Genomic DNA, 18,251 nt, shown 5'->3' with positions numbered 1-18,251 from the left:
CGGGTAGGAAGGAGGCATCTTTCTACCTGCTAAGGGGCTTTCTCAGAACAGTCTTACTTCAGACCCCTTTTCAAAATGAATTTCCTTTCTTCGTTCCACCATTCTCCAGAAAGATGACATTTTAGACTCTTCTCTCTTGCGGGGGGAGGGGGCTGTTAAAGAAACACTATCTATCTATCCCACACACAGAATGGAGCAGAAAACATGGAAATAGCTGGTTGCTTCTTGACCAAAAAATGGAAAGGAAACTGGCTCCCAGGAATCCCTATGCTTTTCTGGAAAACTGCTTCAATTATCACAATGCTGATCACCTTCTCCTACTCCTCTAAAAGCAATTTCCAGATAGGACAGTACCAGTCCACAGACACTACTCTTTTACATCCTGCTGTTACCTCTCAGGGCTCATGGGCAGTGTTACTTGGGCACCATGGTTAGAGCACCAGCAAAAGTAGGGCAACAAAAAAGCCAACAATTTGGGGAGACATTTTAATAGTTGACATTTAAAAATAAAAGACATAATCAGGAGGAAAATTAGAACTTTATTGGGCTTCTTCTCACTCATTTCACGGTTAAGAATGGCTTTTATTTTGAATTGAATGTGGGAGAAAGTACCAAAACCTTTTGTTTGCTTAAGATTTCTAAAGCTCTTATTTGGGCCACAGGCAGAACCTGAGGCAGACCCCCGAGATGTCTGAGAACCTTTCAGATTCCACTGAGGGAAGGCTGGGAGTCAGCTCTGGGCAAAGCCAGTCTTCCAAGTGGGAAGCACCCACATTTTTCTGAGTAGCTGCAACTGGTTAGCAAAGGGTTTCCTGGGGACTGCTGTCCTCATAAGAAGCAGACAAGGTGTGGAAAGAAGCTCCTGTAAGCTCCTGACTCAGGCTGGAGACTGATGCCCAGGGGCATCACCGTGGTGAATGAAAAAGTGTACAGCTAATAAAATGTTCAAAGATAGATTTGCCTAGGAAGTGCCAAAAGAAATACAGGAGGAAAGGGTGGGGGAGAAAAGAAAGGATGGTCTAAGTGACACATCTTCAGCTGCCTGACCCTCAAGTCAAAATGATTTAAAGTTTTTATTGAAAGAACAGATGGAAGATGAGAGCATTTCTTGATGCAGGATGGCACTTCTTGGGCACTCACATGCTGCACGATATATTATAATCTCCGTATAGCTCAAGATATAAATAAAATGAAGAATATATCAAAACTCTTCTATTTGCCAGCAACCTCCCTGGGATTGCTAACACTGATGAGAAAACAGTAGGAGAACGGAGGCTAAGAAAAACCAAGAGCTACTAATGTGACCCGATTGCTACTATTTATTTAATGGAACAGCCATTATTTTTCTTCAACATATGTGTCTGATAATGAGGCAAAAAGAAAGGAAAATAACGATCAATGTGCCATTTCAGAAACACACAAACATTTGTTAGCTTTTTCATTTTATTGATGTTCTTTTAATATATGTATTTAGGATTAAACTAGTGTTCAAGTACTAATAATCCAGCAATTCTGAATTGGGGCTTTATTTTTTAAAAAATACAAGCACAGTTAGGGAACAGAGATGAAATTCTTGTCAAACATAAAAATATGAATTGAATTGCTTCTTTTTAGATGGATCTTTAACATTGACTTGACCATATGGACACTGCAGAAGAAATAAAACAAATTATTATTAAATTATTTAACAATCATCTTGAAAAAGCACACTTCTCATGGTGACAAAAAGAGACTGTTAACAATTTTATATAGATCATTTGAACTATCAGGTCCTGCAGACTAAGAGAAAAATATTGGCAACCTCAGGCAAATGATCCTAATTAGGGTCCAAGAACCATTTCCTAAATTCATCCTTCCAAATTTAAGAATTTTACTGTCAAAAAATCCACTTTTAGAAAATCCTCAAATCCTCAATTTACAAAAAGCTCTTATGCATTTGATTAGAAACAGCTAAGGGCACAGGAACATACATAAAACGGAAGGTTTAATTTTTAATCCTGGCTACAGTTAATACATGCATTTAGTGTCTATTCTTTAATTATAGAGTGGCTAGTTAAAGGAAATTACACCTTCTTGCACCAAAACATACAAAGTGTTCTGTAAACAGAGGTTGTTACTGTTTATAATCTTGACCCTATAACAATTTACCTCACTACTATGCCTTTAAAAAGTAATAGTGAAGGATTCATTCCCATTTATTTTTTGCTTATAATAAGGAAGGAGAGGTTTGTTTATCTTAATTAGTGAACATAGAGAGGTATCTATTGAAATAAACATTTTAGGAAATGTACAGGCACTACATGCAGTATAATCTAGTTTCACAGTTATTTCAAACACAGACTGGAAAAGAGCCACAGAAAGGACCAGAGAGAGGAAGGTGGTGGCGGGGGGTGGGGAACAGAATGAGAGAGAGAGAGATGGAAAGAAGACAGGAAAAAAGGGAGGGAGGGAAGGAAGGAAAGAAGAAAAGAAAAAATCATTATCTGAAGGAAACCTACCTCTCAATGCTGGGCGAGTTTCTATTTATTCAACTAATAAAGAAGAGGGATCTCATCTGCAACATTCTAGATTTCTTTTCCTGCCCTCTTTGTACTTGCCTAATGAAAACAACTTATTTGAAACCCCATGAAAAGTTTCCTTGTAATAAAGAGCTCCCATGAATTTCAAATCACAGCATTTCAAGGAACTGATGCTCACAGTGAAACTTTACAAAATTCCATTAACTTTAAAAGTCCTATGTTGGTACTAAGGACTTCATTGTCGTTGGCTAAAGTAGCTTGTGAAAAGTTCACTCCAGGTCTATTTGGTTTTTTATTTGACTTGTTGTTCAAATAATAGGTATTTACGAAGTTACAGAAGCACCGCAAACTGCTGCTGTAATGCAAGAATTGCTACTCACATGTCTGCACGCAGAGCCACAACATTCACCTCTTTGCAAGTGGGCAATCTGTGTGAGCACCACATAGCCAGTAGCTGGATCCACATAGTTTAGCTGGCCAGCCTGAAGTGCAATAAAATGAAACAATTCATTAATCTCAATATTCATCATATCTCTTCACCATAATGTCTACACATAAAATACTGCAGAAAAATTTTAAACAATATTAAACTTCTTCCCAGCAGTTTTAGTGGCACTTGCAATTAAAGACCAAATGCACTCCAGCATTATACACAATCCAACTTTATGTGACATAAGGAGAAAATATACAGTTTGAGAAAAATGAGAAGTTGATGGAAAAACAAGAACTCCTCTGTACCTAATAACTATGTAGCCACTGCTCTGATATTTTTCATTTGGTTTCTAGGTAACAAGCTTAATAACAGGTGATTTAAATGATTTTAAGAGCTTAAGAGGCTGAAAATGAACTTTCACTCAGAAGTTGCAGTTGGAATTTCAGTACTTAAAATATGTGGATAATGATTTAAACTTACAGAAAAGGCGCTAATCAAAACCAACGGTCCTTATAGAAAAGTATTACCTTTGCTATTATTGAACACTTTCTTTACCTTCATGTGTTACTTCATTGCACATTTTATACTATTTTTTTTTTTGCTGGTGTGTTATTAGTTGTATTTTTAAGTGAAAAAAGTATTGTTTTAACATATTAACACTCACAGCTTTCACAAGTTTGATCAAAAGAAACTTTTATTGTACTATTTCAAATGTCAAGGAAGTATATTCTATCTACATTCAAACATGACTTAAAACGGTGTCTCAAGTACTTTGTGGGAAGGGAAAAGTAAATAACATAATCTTTTCTGTGGATTTGGGTCTTTGGGGTGATATTACTTAGCCTTGGGTTTTTGTAGAGGAACTCCCATGGACTTTTTGTATAACCTTTTTACCACGCAGTAACTCAGTGCATCAATCTTGTACAGAGTTTTTTTCATTAAAATACACATGAAACTTGCATGTCTTCTGACAAACACATTTTTGTATGAACCACCAACAACTTCTTCAGTGTCTCATTTAATGGCAGAATATTTTATTCTGGTTGAGGTTTTAACCCAATATGTTTCATGAGAAAAGTGTGTAGCAAAAGGACGGGTACAGTTGAAATCTAGCCTCACTCTAAGGCATCCCAGCAAAGCTAGAGCAGGACAGGGCAGCAGAAATCCGAGCAAGTCCCAAGGCTGGTCTGAGAGAGACTTCCCAAGTCCAGGGAGACCACAGAAGCAGATTACATGAAATCAGGAGCACTCAGCACTACCTTAGAATGACCGATTGTCAGGGCCTCACTTCTTTATTTATTTACGAAGCTCGTGTTTGGAGACTTGGAAGAAAAACAAAAAAACACTAGGAACTCTGTAGCAGGCTTCTTTTTACTTTTCATAGCTTCTGGGAGTCTTCTGAGGGCAATTATCTGGCAACCTGGAAGCCTAACAGATTGCTCCTGCGCATGCCCCTGCTCTACAGCTTTCCATGTTGATTGAGCACCTCTGAGCTTGCTGGCTGCCCACACAAACTTAATTTGTCCTCAGTAAATGAGCCTCACGTAATGGTGGCCACAGACAAAGATGAAGCAAGGGTGCTGACAGTTTGACTGGAGAGCAAGATGCTCAGTGATGCGCATCGGTACCCGGAGAAAGGTAAGAGAGCTATCTGCTTTGAGGCTGGAAGAAGGACCATAGTGAGGGGGCTCAGATTTGTCGAAAAAGAAAAACAAGCAGCTTGTTATTTACTGGGCTTACTTATGGTCACCTGGATAGTCATTTAACCTGTGATACTGACACTGATGAAACAAATGTGAATTTCCCGAGTGAGAAAAAGTTCCTTTCCTTCCCTAGACTGATTGAAAATTTCTTCACATGATACTGGTGTTTGCTCTAAGGAGAATGACACTTTTCTTTAATATCCACCATATCTATATTGCGAAGTATGAGAACAAATTATATACATTATTTTTAAAAGGAGAGCATAAACAAGAACAATCAAAAGCTGCCAGTCACTTCCTAATGAGTCTTTATTCAGTTTCAGCACTTGAATGGGTCAGACCGACAGTGGATTCTCAGGGCCTACTAACTGTCATTATTTAAATAAGTCAATTTTAGGCAACCTCCGGGATTTTCTTCTCTACCCCTTTGGCTCAAGTCATACCATATAATATTAGTCCCATCAAGTACTGGAGGCACACACACATAGCTTATTAAATGGGTTCATTTCATACTGCTTTTCTATCTTTATTATAGTCAGTTTCTCTTTTTTTCTCACTGTTTCTTTTGTAAAGGTAACCATGCTGCCTTTAAACTCACGCAGACTGTGTTAGAAGGCGTAAAGGGAGAGAAGTTTAGATACTGGTACTAACAGACAATTGTCAAATCCGCAAAACAGGAGAAAACAGCTGAGTGTCTACAAATGCCAGATTGTAGTTCCCTCTGCTCCGTTAAGAGTTAAGAGAAAGGACAAGAAGGCAATGGAAAAATTAAAATAAATGTGTCAATGTCTTTTTTTCTCACTCTAAGAATCACTGGATTGCTAAGTGTTCAACTGACAATGCAGAAAAACACACAACACATTTTTGTTGTGACTTCTCAGTCCCTCCACCTTCTCCATCAATTCCTTAACACCCCCTTCCGCAACACACACACACATACACCACAAAAGAGTGGTAGTGGGTCCCACACTGCGACCGGAGTTTAGCTCGGACGCTGATCGGAAAACAAATCACACTCATACTCAAGACAGACACAGGTTTCCCGCGAAAATGTCGGGGCTGGAAGTTCGTGTGCGTGCGCGAATGTCGCCCGAGGCAGGACCGCACCGGTATCCAGCAACCTTTGCCTCTGCCGGGCGGCCTCCGGGTCCGGAGAGGCCCGGGATGCGCAGGCGCGCCGAGCCCGGGGCGGCCGCGGCGGGGCGGGGCGGGCAGGAGGGAGTCTCACCGCGCAGGCGGCAGCGTGCAGCTCCGCGATCTGTCGCTCCGCCGCGGTTAACTCTTCGCTCACCGAAGGCCTCGCCGCTCTCTCCGGCCTACCGGGCGTGCTGGGCGCGGAGCCGCCGCAGTTTCCCTCGTTAGCAGGGCAGAGGGTTAAGCTGAGCTGCTGTCGGAACCCAGCTCTTACCCAGAGAGGTGCTGGCGGCGGGGCGGCGGAAGGTTGCCTGCAGAGCGCGGCACCCGTCCGTGCCCAGATCTGCCTGGCCGCCATGCCGCCGCCGGCCTTGGGAGGCGGAGCACCCGGCGCTGGGGCCCGGAGGGGCGACCAACGCGGGCCTGGGCGCGGCGAGCCGGTCTTGGGCAGCTCGTGGCCATCGCTGCGTGGGGTCGGTTCGCGCTGCCGTGGCAGCAGGTGGAGGCGGACGGACTGAGCCTTCTGCCTTCACCAGCGGGCCCGCTGCGGAAATAAAATGGGCTTTTAAGGCAGCTAACGAGGCTCTGATGAGCTGCCTGGACGGGGAAGAGCCTGGTGTTTCCACATCTTTGGACTTAAATTCTAAGCTCTTCCTTCTTCCCCCGCGCCCACCCAGCTGAAAGGTGGACATTTTTTGTTATGTCAGACTGGACTTGGGATCATTCAGTATAATCTCCACAACTGTTAAGATCCCAGAAAGTGATCAAAAGACCCGAGGTTTGTGAATAACCACCTTGGGCCTATCCAGAAAAGGCTGAGTGTTTCCAGGTAGTATGTGATAGGAATAAAGGTGGAAGCGGAGCCTTCTTTGCTTGGTTCTTTGGCCCACCCTAGAATAAGGGCCAAAAGTAAAATCGCACACTGAATAAGAAAAGGTGTTGTGTTCATGTTGCTGAATATTTACAAAATCCAACCTAAAACTATTATCTCCTTTCTGATGGATGAAAGTGATCTTGATACCGTCACATAATTGTATTTGAGAAAATTACGGCAAGCCCGGGAAGTAATTTCAGGTGTTAGGATTAAATTAACACCACCCCATCTTCCTACCCCCCGTCTGGGTTTCAAGAAAAGGAGGGCTGAAGAGTACCAATTTTGTTAGTGCTCTTCAATACTGGGAGGGCAGGAATTGATCTTTGAGGACAAAAGTAGATTATTCAGTTGTACAGGAGAAAGGCGACTAAGCCACTATAGACCATCACTACGTGTTTTTTGGTTTCTGTGTTTACCATGCAACCCTGTAGTCATATTTTCATTTTCTTAAATCTTAGTAGGAGGTGATTGAAACAACCCTATTGGTTCATTAAAAATCTCAGTGAATTAATAAATTGGTATTATATTTTGCAAATTGATTTTCTTTTTGTTGGAATAAAAAATTAGGATCTGGAGACTGTTAAGTAATCTGAGGAGAGTTTAAAATCTGGAAAGCGAAGGAGGGACCCTAGAGAAAGCTGTGGAAGAGTGGGACCAAACATGAGATCACCAAAAATGAACAACTGTGATGTTATTCACATTCACCATAAGTCAGGTCCCCGCACCAACAAAAACCTGAGATTGATTTACTGCATTGTCTTTAAAATTAAGGATCAGGATCCACTAATAGGCCATGACATCGATTCAAAGGGTAGAGACAGCATTTTACAGGAATGAAATAGACTAGACCAGATTTAAATAGAAAATAAATGGAACTATCTTATATAGATACATATCTTATATAGATACATATGTACAAGAGTACATATTGTTACATGAAACTTCTTTTGGTGAAGATGAGAGGGTGGAAGTGGACTGTACAGGGCTTGAACAACAGAGATCTTGTAGGTAACAGAATAATTCTGTATCTTGACTATGATGATTACAAAAATTTACATGTGATAAGATGCCATGGAGCTATACATACATTGTTTTAATGTCAAATCCCTGGTTTTCATATTGTAAGCATGTAAGGTGTAAGCATTGGGGGAACCTGGGTGAAGTAAACACAGTACCATATCTGCAACTGCATGTGAACCTGTAATTATTTCAAAATTTAAAAACAGTATTTTTTTTTTTGAGACAGAGTCTCACTCTGTTGCCAAGGCTAGAGTGCAGTGGTGCAGTCATAGCTCACTGCAATCTCTAACTCCTGATTTCACGTCATCCTCCTAGCTCAGCCTCCTGAGTAGCTGGAACTACAGGTGTGTGCCAACATGCTTGGCTAACTTTTTATTTGTAGACATGCGGTCTCCCAATGTTGCACAGGCTGCTCTTGAATTCGTAGGTTCAAGGGATCCTCCCGCCTCGGCGTCCCAAAGTGCTGTGATTACAGGTGTGAGCCACCACACCTGGCTTAAAAACAGCAATTTTAAAGAGATGTAGAAATGGATTTCAGATTATTTGGTAAGGAGATTACTGAATTAACCAAAATTAACCTTTTTTTTTTCTGTCTTCTCCATTCCCAGTGTCATTTAGATGTTGAATAGATTACCTGCCCCCTTCAATTTTCATTTGATCGTCATACTTTAGAGCCGGTGTCATTTCTCACCAAGTAACTTTCATTCATTATGTCTCTTGTTTTAGAAAGCCTCCTCAGGGCTTTACCCTTAGCTTATTCTATCATGTGTTCATTTCTCAGATTCTCTGTGCTCAAAGTAGACAAAACTGTATGAAAGTGGGGCACTAAGTCCCACCTTAGAGTGGTACATAAAGTTTGAACTTTATTTACAAAGCATTTACATTTAGATTTGCTCTAGAAAGAGTCATTTTGTGCCACAACTCTGTGTGTAACATGTAATAGTTGATATATTTTATAACATTTATTATATCATTTGGGATACTTGTGTTAACATTGAACATGCTTGTTATGATGGAGGTGAGGTGATCAGAGAAATGCCTTCCCCTAGATTTCATTGATATTAATTTTTAAATAGGTATATTAGGACTCTCTAGGTTGCAAGATATAGATTATACAACTCAATCTGGTTACAATAAAAGGAATGTGTTTGCTCATATAACCATGAAGCATGACTTGATTCAGGATTCACCAGGGCTTGGTTTTCATTTTTCTGCTTAGTCTCTTCAATGCTAATTCTCTTTTCAGGCAGGTGTTTTTCTCATTGGTGAAATATAGCTGCAGACAGCTCCCATGGTTTCATCCTTTCTGGTCCTTGTCCAAGTTAAAAAAAAAAAAAAAAAAAAGAGTCCTGTTATGAAGCTCTAGGATAAGAGAAGCCCTTTTTCCCTTCTGAAAGTCCCGTCAGCCATATCTTTATCATGTGCCCATTTCAGAACCAGTCTTTTGAGTATAGATTATACTTAAGCCAATCAGGGCCTATCCCTGGATCTGCCTATGGGCAACCAACCCAAACCTATTGCTGAAAATGGCCTGTATTAGTGCTGAGGACACAGTTCACAAAAGTCCACTACAGCGTGACTTTCAAAAGCAAAGAAAATTCCACCAGCCCACCCAGTCCTTTTTAATACTTAGTATTTAAATGTTCATTTTTAAAGTTTTTTTATGTTCCTCTGTCCCCTCTAGAAGCCTTCCTTTTTGATTTCTCACAATTATTTGTGCCATTTCAACTTTTTATATTTTTTGCATTGTTTTCCCAACAGATCATAAGATAATAGGGAACATGTCATTTTCATCTTTTTATCTCTACAGCCCAACTTGTACTTCTGCAGAAAGTATTATGGCACATAGTGAATAATGAATAATGAATTTTTGAATGGATAAATGAGTCAGCAGTTTTTTATTCTCAAATACATATTCCTAATTACTGGACAAAAATGTCATGAAATTTTAATATTAAATTTCTATACATAGTATTGCATATTTGAACATATATAGTTGCAAATATTTCTTTAAAAAACTAAGTGAAAAGAGGTACTAAATCTGAAATCTTATTAAATTATATTATTAAATAAAGCGAGCTATTTTACTGACAGACAAGACAGATGCATATATTAAATGATCTGATCTAAGCCCTTGAAATGCTACCTTTAATTGACTTTAAGTGTTATCTTTTAATGAATTATGAATGTATTGAGCTGGTAGTGGACAAATTATTGCTGGAGCCACAGAGCTACCAACAGACTTCTTGTCCGTTTACTGCCTGTTTTGCACACTTCCATTTGGACACTGATTATGTATTTCATGTTTTCCAAATAGCCGAATGGTGTGTTATGACGTGTCATGCTCCACGTAGAGTGGATTTTCACTATCAATTCTTATGATTGAGAGCAAATGTTACATGCCCCTAAGGTTGCCTATAGGGAATCTTTGTTTCATTTAATCGGACATCCAGTGGCACACTTTGTTTCACAGAGCTGGTCTTAGAAAATTCTTTTGGGAATTATAACCATTTCTATTTGCAAGCCCAGCAAATCTCTGCTGACTTCACAGAAGATGCTACTCCGCCAGTGTTACATGCCTAGAGCACTGCTGCATTTGGCGCCCATCTTTCCATTTTGTTTTTGTTATTTTGGACAAGTATAGATGAGCTATATGATATGAAGTAATCTAGCCATTTCATCTCCTCATCCACTCAGTCATTCTCTAATGGAATGGTAGTTGGCTTCTACCTGCACTGCCAACTTAAAGTGTTACTAAATCCAGTGCACTTATACAGTAGTTCCCTAACTAACACTGCTTGTACTTTAAGGTGGTCAGTTGTCTGCCCCTCAAAGCTATTCTCTTGACTTCTTGGACCCCATATTCTTAAAATTTGCTTTTTATTTTTAGGATTATTCCTTGAATTTTTAAAAAGCGCTTCTTCTCTCCTCTTCATCCTTAAATGTTGATTTTCTTCAGATTTCTTCAGCAATTCTCAGCCCACTGCTCTCACTGTATAATACTTCTCCAAGTGATTTTACCCATGCTTATGTTTTTAATCTATTACCATGTAATGATTCTTCATCAGGTTCAAAGCTTTTGAGAGCAACATACCTATCTAGCCATCTGCCTGCTAGACATAGATGTTTAAAATTACCCCAAACTCATCGTGTCCAAAACAGACTTAATCACCATTACCTTTGAAATCTTACTTTCCCGTTTATTTTCAATTTTAAAGGCATGGGTGCCCAATCATTCATCAAATTCAGAGATCTTGGAGTAATTCTACACTTTTTCTACATCTCCCCATCCAGACCATCACCAACTCTTGTCAGTTTTGTCTGCAGTTAAAGTCTTAAATTGTCTGTAATTTCTCAAAAAGTCTCAAGTTGGTCCTTTCCTTTGCTTCTATCATTGTTCATTATCTTTATCATTATCATTTCTTTCCCCTGACTACAACTATAACAGAATGGTTTCTTAATGGAAATAATATATAAGGAGGGCTTACTGTGTATCAGGGCACTCTGATAAGTGCTGGAGATTTATTATTCACATTTTGCACATGCTGTTTAGTCTGACAAAAAATACCCTATTCTCATCTCCACCTCAGTCTTCAGCTCATGTCTTTGATGAAGTTATACCTGTTTTTAAAGCCTAAGCCTATGCGTCACCTTCTCTAGTGAGCTTTTCCTGACTGCTTACTCTGCTCCTTGTCTGCTTTCCCCAGTCTTCTCTGCAGGCTGGCTAGGCACGCCACCCCAAGGCTCCCATAATATCCAAAGCATGACTCTACATTTGCACTTTCCTATTGTATAATTTTATGTTTATGAGTTTTTACTGCCAGACTGTGAGGTCTTTAAGGATAAAGATTGTCTTAATAATCTGTATCTCCAGTAGCACAAGTTCGTAGGAAATGCTTAAAAAATGCTTGTTTAAATGAATAGATGAATGAATAATGGCAGCAAAAACCTACATATGAGTAACATAGCAAATAAATTATAGAAATGTATTTTTCCTTAATATTTTATGGTTATGAAGCAGTATTGTGTTTTGCAAATACATTAGTTGTTCTCTGGCTATTGTTTATGAGACACAATATACCAAAATAACAACATAACTGTGATTTTATTTGGCAATCTATTTAGTAAGTTCCCCCAAAGTCATTGAATTAATGATAACTGCAGTGTATGAGCTGCATTCCAAATGAAGTAAGTGTATGTTGACAGTGAAGTGTAGCCTTGTTAACCCTGAACAATCATTTCAATTATAAACTACATGTACACAATCACTGTCACATAAAATATCCAGACTAATTACTTCTAGCCCTTTTGTTATGCAAGTATTAGAGATGAAACCTACTCTTAGGTATATTAAGTATAACAGCGAAATCTCCAGGAACATCATTAGAAAAAAAAAAAGGAAGAATTTTTACATTATTAAGATAAATGGATTAGCATCATGCTTTTAAAATTGCATGGGCAGCCACTGTTTTGTAGGATTTCCCACATACCAACACATTTGTAACAGATCTTGGTTAAGGCCATAAATACAACATACAAATCAGAGCGTTGTTCTCTGCACTCATGTTGCTGCCTGAGGGAGAAAACCATGTCCACTCTTCCATGACTGGAATGAAAGGCACACTGAGTTTTAGGTCAAATATCCATGACATTGACGTGTATGACTAGTCTACTGAGTATGATACATGTTAATATCTTCCCAGTGGTGGGCACAAGTGATATGCCTCAGTGATCAACACAGCATGCACAACCCCTTTAGGTTTTCTACAGGTGTAAAATTGAAATTGATGCATCTTTGAAATCCTGTGGAATGTGATTCTTCTGTGCAGTTAAACTGTACTACTGCTATGTGAGTTTTTTTCTTTGTATATTTCTGTAAGAATGTCATCAACATCAGTTGTTCCATCTGATGATATTTTTGATGGCACATTTCAGACAGCATTATTATGAACTAAACCTGTTTGTGTTGCATTGTTGGACCAATAAAAATAGAAAAAGCAAAGTTTCATGGCTGACTGAGTGCTGCAAAATATAAGTGCTATGCCCACATTGTGATTTCTGAAATGGTCAGTGGTACATTTGTAACATAATTATGTAATTCATATACAATCTAAGTTTTATGACAGAAACATGTATATTCTGCCTATCATCTTATTCCACTGTAAAGGACAGTGACTCACCCATAATTCACTGAATGAATATGTTCTTGAGTGGTAGCATGGAATGTTGAAAGAGCATTGTCTTTGAAGGCATGAAGACGTGAATTGAATCTTAACCTATCCACTTTCTAATTCTGTGACATTGAGATTATTTAAACTAAACCTTGGTTTCCTCCTCTGTGGAATGTGAATAGTATCTCAAAGCTGAATTATTGTGAAGGTTAAATGACATAGTATATATAAAACATCTGTCATGGTGTCTAGCACATAGTGGGAGCTCATAAATATTAGCTGTTGTTACTACTGAACTGGGAAACCACTTTTGTGCTTTTAGCCTTTTTGTATGTTAGCCTTCAGCTGCTTAATAGTTGCCTGTTTTACCATCAATCCTTAATGAGATGAGACTTAGGTTGTTTGAATGATGACTTTTTTTTTAATAAATGACAAAAGCTTGTTATATACATACATAATCAAGCAGATTTTTCCATTAATTAAAAGCTTTGTACAGTGAGCTAAAGTTATATGTTAAGATTCCAGAGATCATGTTTCCAAAGCATATTGACTGTAACAATATAAATAACACTCCTTGAGTAGCCCTAAATAGTTATGGACAGTAAGTGATAAAGGTATTCAGAATAGGGAGATATATTTATAAGTTTCTTGGTGAGAAAAAGTTGTATGACAGAAGAAGAATTTGAACTGAGTATTAAAGAATGTTTATAATTTTGCTAAGAGCTATGAATGAACACCTTATTTTCAGCAAGAAAAAGATTTGAAGAAGAGAGCTTTTGTGGATGCTATTAGGATGCTTTTGGTTACAAGTGACAGCAAATGGCAACTCTCTTTGCATAAAATGAGAACATTGATCATGTCACAAAACAAGAAGTCCAGAGCTAAGTGCTGCAGGGTAGCCTGGCTCAATGGCTTTGTAGCAGCCCCAAGGACCTAAGTTCTTTGTCTTTTGCCCTGGCATTCTGAGTGAGCCCACGTGATACTCTTATTGCTTGCCTTAGAATGACAGCCTGGCTTGCTGCAGTTTCAGGCATCATATCCAGACATGGCAATGTTCAGTTGATATAGTTTGGATGTTTTGTCCCCTCCAAATCTCATGTTGAAATGTGACCTCCAGTGTTGGAGATGGGCCTAATGGAAGGTGTCTGGGTCTTGGGAGCAGATTCCTCATGAATAGTTTCAAGTTGTCCTCAAAGCAATGAGCGAGTTCTCACTCTATGAGTTCACAGAAGATCTGGTTGTTTAAAAGAGCTTGGCACCTCCTCCCTTTCCCTCTCGTGTGCTCTCTCTCTCCTCTCCTCTCCTCGCTCTTGCTCTCTCACCGTGTGAAATACTGGCTCCCACTGGCTCCCACTTTGCCCTCTGCCATGATTGGAAGCTTCCTGAAGCCTCACCGGGAGAAGATGCTGGTACTGTGTTTCTTGTACACCCTGCAGAACTGTGAGCCAAAATAAACCTCTTTTCTTTATACATTATCCAGCCTTAGGTAGTCCTTTATAGCAATACAGATGGACTGTCACACCAGTGAAAGAGGAAGGATGAGTTTTCTTGTGCCTCTTAAATTTTATTATGGATATGCAAACACACATACAAATATGAAGAGAGTATAACCAATACCCATATTCCTGTTACCCAGTTGAAAACATTAGAAACACAGTTTTAACTCCCTGTGCATACCACTCCAAGCATATTTCTTCTCCCCACATTCTGAATTTATCATTTCTGGTGTGCTATGGCTTTAGTTATATGGTCCTCCAAAATTTATGTGTTGAAACCTAATCAATAATGTGATGGTATTATAAGATGGAGCCTCTGGGAGGTGACTAGGTCATAAGCACTCTACCCTCATGAATGGGACTAATGTCCTTATAAAAAGACTGGAGGGAAGTAGCTAGGTTCTTTTACCCTTCCCTCCCTTCTGCCTTGTGAAGACACAGTGTTCATTCCTTTTTGTCCCCCTTTTTGTTCATTCCTTTTTGTCCCCCTTTTGCACCCATGTGAGGGTGCAGCAAGAGGCACCATCTTGGAAACAGCAGCCTTCACCAGGCATTGAATCTGCTGGCACCTTGATCTTGGACTAACCAGCCTCCAGAACTGTGATAAATAAATTCCTGTTATTTATAAATTACCCAGTATCGAATATTTTGTTGTAGCAGAAACAGACTAAGATACCATATATCCCTTTCACTACATGTATATCCCTCAACAATGTAGTATTGCTCCTCAACAATATAGTATTGCTCAACAATATAGTATCCCTCAGCAATATAGTATTGCTTTCTATGTTGTTCAACTTTACATAAATGATTTCATACAGCTATACAACCTTATAAAACTTGATTTTTCAGTTAACTTTGTGAGATGCACCTATGTTAATTCATGTAGCTTTAGCACATTCCTTTTCATCATGTATAGGATTCTATTTTGTAAATATAGCTAAAAGTGTTCAACATTAATAATTGGGAATGTAAATCCAAACTATAATGAGATATTGTATCTATTAGGATGGTTATTATCCAACAATAATAATAAAATGAAAATAACAAGTGTTGGCAAGGATATGGAGGAAAGGGAACCCTAACATACACTGTCAGTGAGAACGTGAATTGGTACAGCCACTATGGGAAACAATATGAAGGCTTCTCAAAAAATTAATAATAGAACTACAATATGATCTAGCAATCCCACTTCTGGTTATTTATCCAAAGGAATTGAAATCAGGATCTTGAAGAGATACCCATATTTATTGCAACATTATTCAGAACAACCAAGACATAGAAGCAACCACAATGTTCATCAACAGATGAATGGATAAAGAAAATGTGGTATATATGTACAATGGAGAACTACTCAGCCATAAGGAGGAAGTCCTGCAATATGGGACAACATTGATGAAGCTGGGGGACATTATGCTAAGTGAAATAAGCCAATCACAGAAGGACAACATGATACCACTTATATGGGAAATCTAAAGGAGTCAAACTCAAAGAAGCAGAGATAGAATAGTTGCTAGGGATTTGGGGGAGGGGAAAACAGAGAGGTATTAGTCAAAGGGTACAAAGTTCCAGTTATGCAAGATGAGTAAGTCCTAGTGATATACTGTACATCATAGTGCCTATAGTTAACAATAATGTATACTGAAACATTGCAAAGAGATTAGATCTTAAAGTTATCACCACAAAAAAAAAAAAATGTGAGGTGTTGGATATGCAAATTAGCTTGATTTAATCATTTAACAATAAATACATATAGGAAAACATCACATTGTACACCATAAATATAAGCTTCTGTCAATTCTACCTTGATAAAGCTGCAAAGGGGAAAAAGTTTATTTTTTACTTATCCAAAATCAATTGTTGATATTTCTCATCAGTCAGTTCTCCTGGACAGTTTTCCATTAAGTAGTAATCCAAGAAATCAGGCTCCTTTTATTTTTTGCTGCAATTATTTGTAAGATATATCCTTTAGGTTTGCTGAAAGATACATAACCTACTCAGCCTGGAAGTGAGTTTACTTCACTCACCATTCATATTCCCTCATTCTTCAACTCTACTTTGCATTCCTGACTTACCACTGTTATCCTTTGCTCTTCACACCTTTCTTTAACACAGGAAAATGTATATGTCCCTTCTCCCAGCAGTTCCCAACACAACGAGCTATAACAGCCTTAAGGAATAGAGACACACCTACTAGCTCCTGTTGCAGTACCCAAATTAAATCCTTATATATGGTCGAGATGCCCTAATATTTATATAGTCTTACATAATTTTTGAAGTACATTCAGAAACTATAATTTTTACATTCTTTTAAGATAAGTATTAAATATATAATCATCTCAATTTTACAAATGAGAGAACTGGTCTTTATCACACTATCAAATATATTTAAGGGCACCAAATACTTGCCTTTTTCTCCCGTAACTTATCCTATATCCAACTGAATCACCAAATTCTATTTATTCTTCTCTCATACTTTGTCTCCCTTCCTTTGAATTTCTATTATAATTTAACATGGTTTAGTTCATTATCATTTCATGCCTAAGTTACTGCAAAGCTCCCTAAATTATAATTACTGCCTCTAGTCTCTTCTCTCTCTAATTCATTCTCAACACTATTTACAAAATAGTACACATATTTTTATTGTCGTTTTCTGGTTCAGAAATCCTCAATATCACAACTGTACATGTAGGATAAAATATTAACTAATTACCTAGGCTTTTGTGGTACTCCCACACCTTGACGCCTGAAATACCTTTTCAGTCTTATGTTCTGCTGCCTTCTAATTCAAACACAAGGTTCTAGTCAGACTAATCTGCCCAGTCTCCCCTAAATTATCCATATTGCAGACATGCTATTTTTGTCTCCCCAAAAGCTATTTCCCCATTCCCCAATTTTGTTTCATTGTCCATCACTTTCCTATGTGTCCCTGAGGTAAATCCTCACTAGTCTTTAATTAAATTTTGGAAACCACACTTTTCTTGCCATTGATCGATTTATGCAAGCAAGTGGCCAATGACACATGAGAGGAAATTCTGCAGGGAGACTACTGGGAAAGATTTTCTTAAGGGAATTTTGGTTTCCAAGAATATGGCATAGCAGATATCCTTAAAATGGAAAATTAAAACTATATCTTAAAAATGTATAGCTGAGCCTACATAAAGTAGAGAAAATCTAGGCACTAAAAATTGAAAACTGAGCTAAGCATTAGAGAGGTAATTTGTCTCTGGCACTACTGTTGCCCTGGAGAAATTTGTCAGTCTTTGTAACCATGATGATTGGGTTTTAGCATCTGAATGGAGTCAGGAGTAAGAGCCTTGGTCTGTGCCAGGCGAGGAATTTAAGCCAAGATCCCTTTGTAAAATTGGAACATTCAAAGAGCTATACCCTTAGTCAGGCCAGCACTAGGGTGAAGCAAGTAAGGAACATACCTTAGTCACAGCCCGGCCCTTGGTGAATGGGTGTACTATAAACTAAATCTGCCTGCCAATCATGGGACAAGGCAGAACACTTGTCTATCTCTGTCTAAGCTCCCCTGAAAATTTATGAAGAGATGTCCGCTCACACATGAGTTTGAGACTAAAACTTATGTTTCCTAAGTAAAACCCACATCAGGAAAACCCTAGTCCAGTAAAATCCAATAACAAGAACTTCTCTTAGGTTGGTAAAATCCGTGGTTGCTTGAGAGAAACAAGAGAGAAATAAATTATCTCTAGAGAATTTACCAAAGAAAATGAACCTTAATCCTTGTCTCATAAGATTTCTATAGAAAAAGCCCTGCTGGGCCGGGCGTGGTGGCTCACACCTGTAATCCCAGCACTTTGGGAGGCCGAGGCGGGAGGATCATGAGCTCAGGAGATCGAGACCATCCTGGCTAACACAGTGAAACCCCGTCTCTACT

At 38.7% G+C, this 18,251-nt stretch overlaps 1 protein-coding gene across 1 annotated transcript, besides 3 other annotated features; it reads right to left on the bottom strand.

Moving 5' to 3' along the window:
• Window positions 1-1,434: 1,434 nt before the first annotated feature.
• On the bottom strand, window positions 1,435-6,167 carry C1orf53 (chromosome 1 open reading frame 53). The gene is made up of 3 exons (NM_001024594.3): window positions 5,884-6,167; window positions 2,900-3,001; window positions 1,435-1,648 (listed from the first exon to the last, which is right to left on the bottom strand). Exons 1-3 carry the CDS (start codon window positions 6,145-6,147, stop codon window positions 1,577-1,579), a joined length of 438 nt encoding a protein of 145 aa, NP_001019765.1. The 5' UTR covers window positions 6,148-6,167; the 3' UTR covers window positions 1,435-1,576.
• Window positions 5,713-5,962: a silencer, noted in NCBI's record as "silent region_1664". NCBI's record gives its function as "represses an Ori minimal core promoter by ATAC-STARR-seq in GM12878 lymphoblastoid cells {active_cell/tissue: GM12878}" and the evidence as "EXISTENCE:reporter gene assay evidence [ECO:0000049][PMID:35858748]".
• Window positions 6,133-6,282: a silencer, noted in NCBI's record as "silent region_1663". NCBI's record gives its function as "represses an Ori minimal core promoter by ATAC-STARR-seq in GM12878 lymphoblastoid cells {active_cell/tissue: GM12878}" and the evidence as "EXISTENCE:reporter gene assay evidence [ECO:0000049][PMID:35858748]".
• Window positions 17,400-17,957: an enhancer, noted in NCBI's record as "OCT4-NANOG hESC enhancer chr1:197859970-197860527 (GRCh37/hg19 assembly coordinates)". NCBI's record gives its function as "activates a minimal SCP1, AML or CMV promoter by ChIP-STARR-seq in primed H9 embryonic stem cells {active_cell/tissue: H9 hESC(primed)}" and the evidence as "EXISTENCE:reporter gene assay evidence [ECO:0000049][PMID:30033119]".

This window comes from Homo sapiens, chromosome 1, assembly GCF_000001405.40.
Source record: "Homo sapiens chromosome 1, GRCh38.p14 Primary Assembly".
In the NCBI taxonomy this organism is placed as follows: domain Eukaryota; kingdom Metazoa; phylum Chordata; class Mammalia; order Primates; family Hominidae; genus Homo; species Homo sapiens.
The sequence above is the reverse complement of the archived record's forward strand: the minus strand, read 5'-3'. Positions and strand labels throughout refer to the sequence as shown.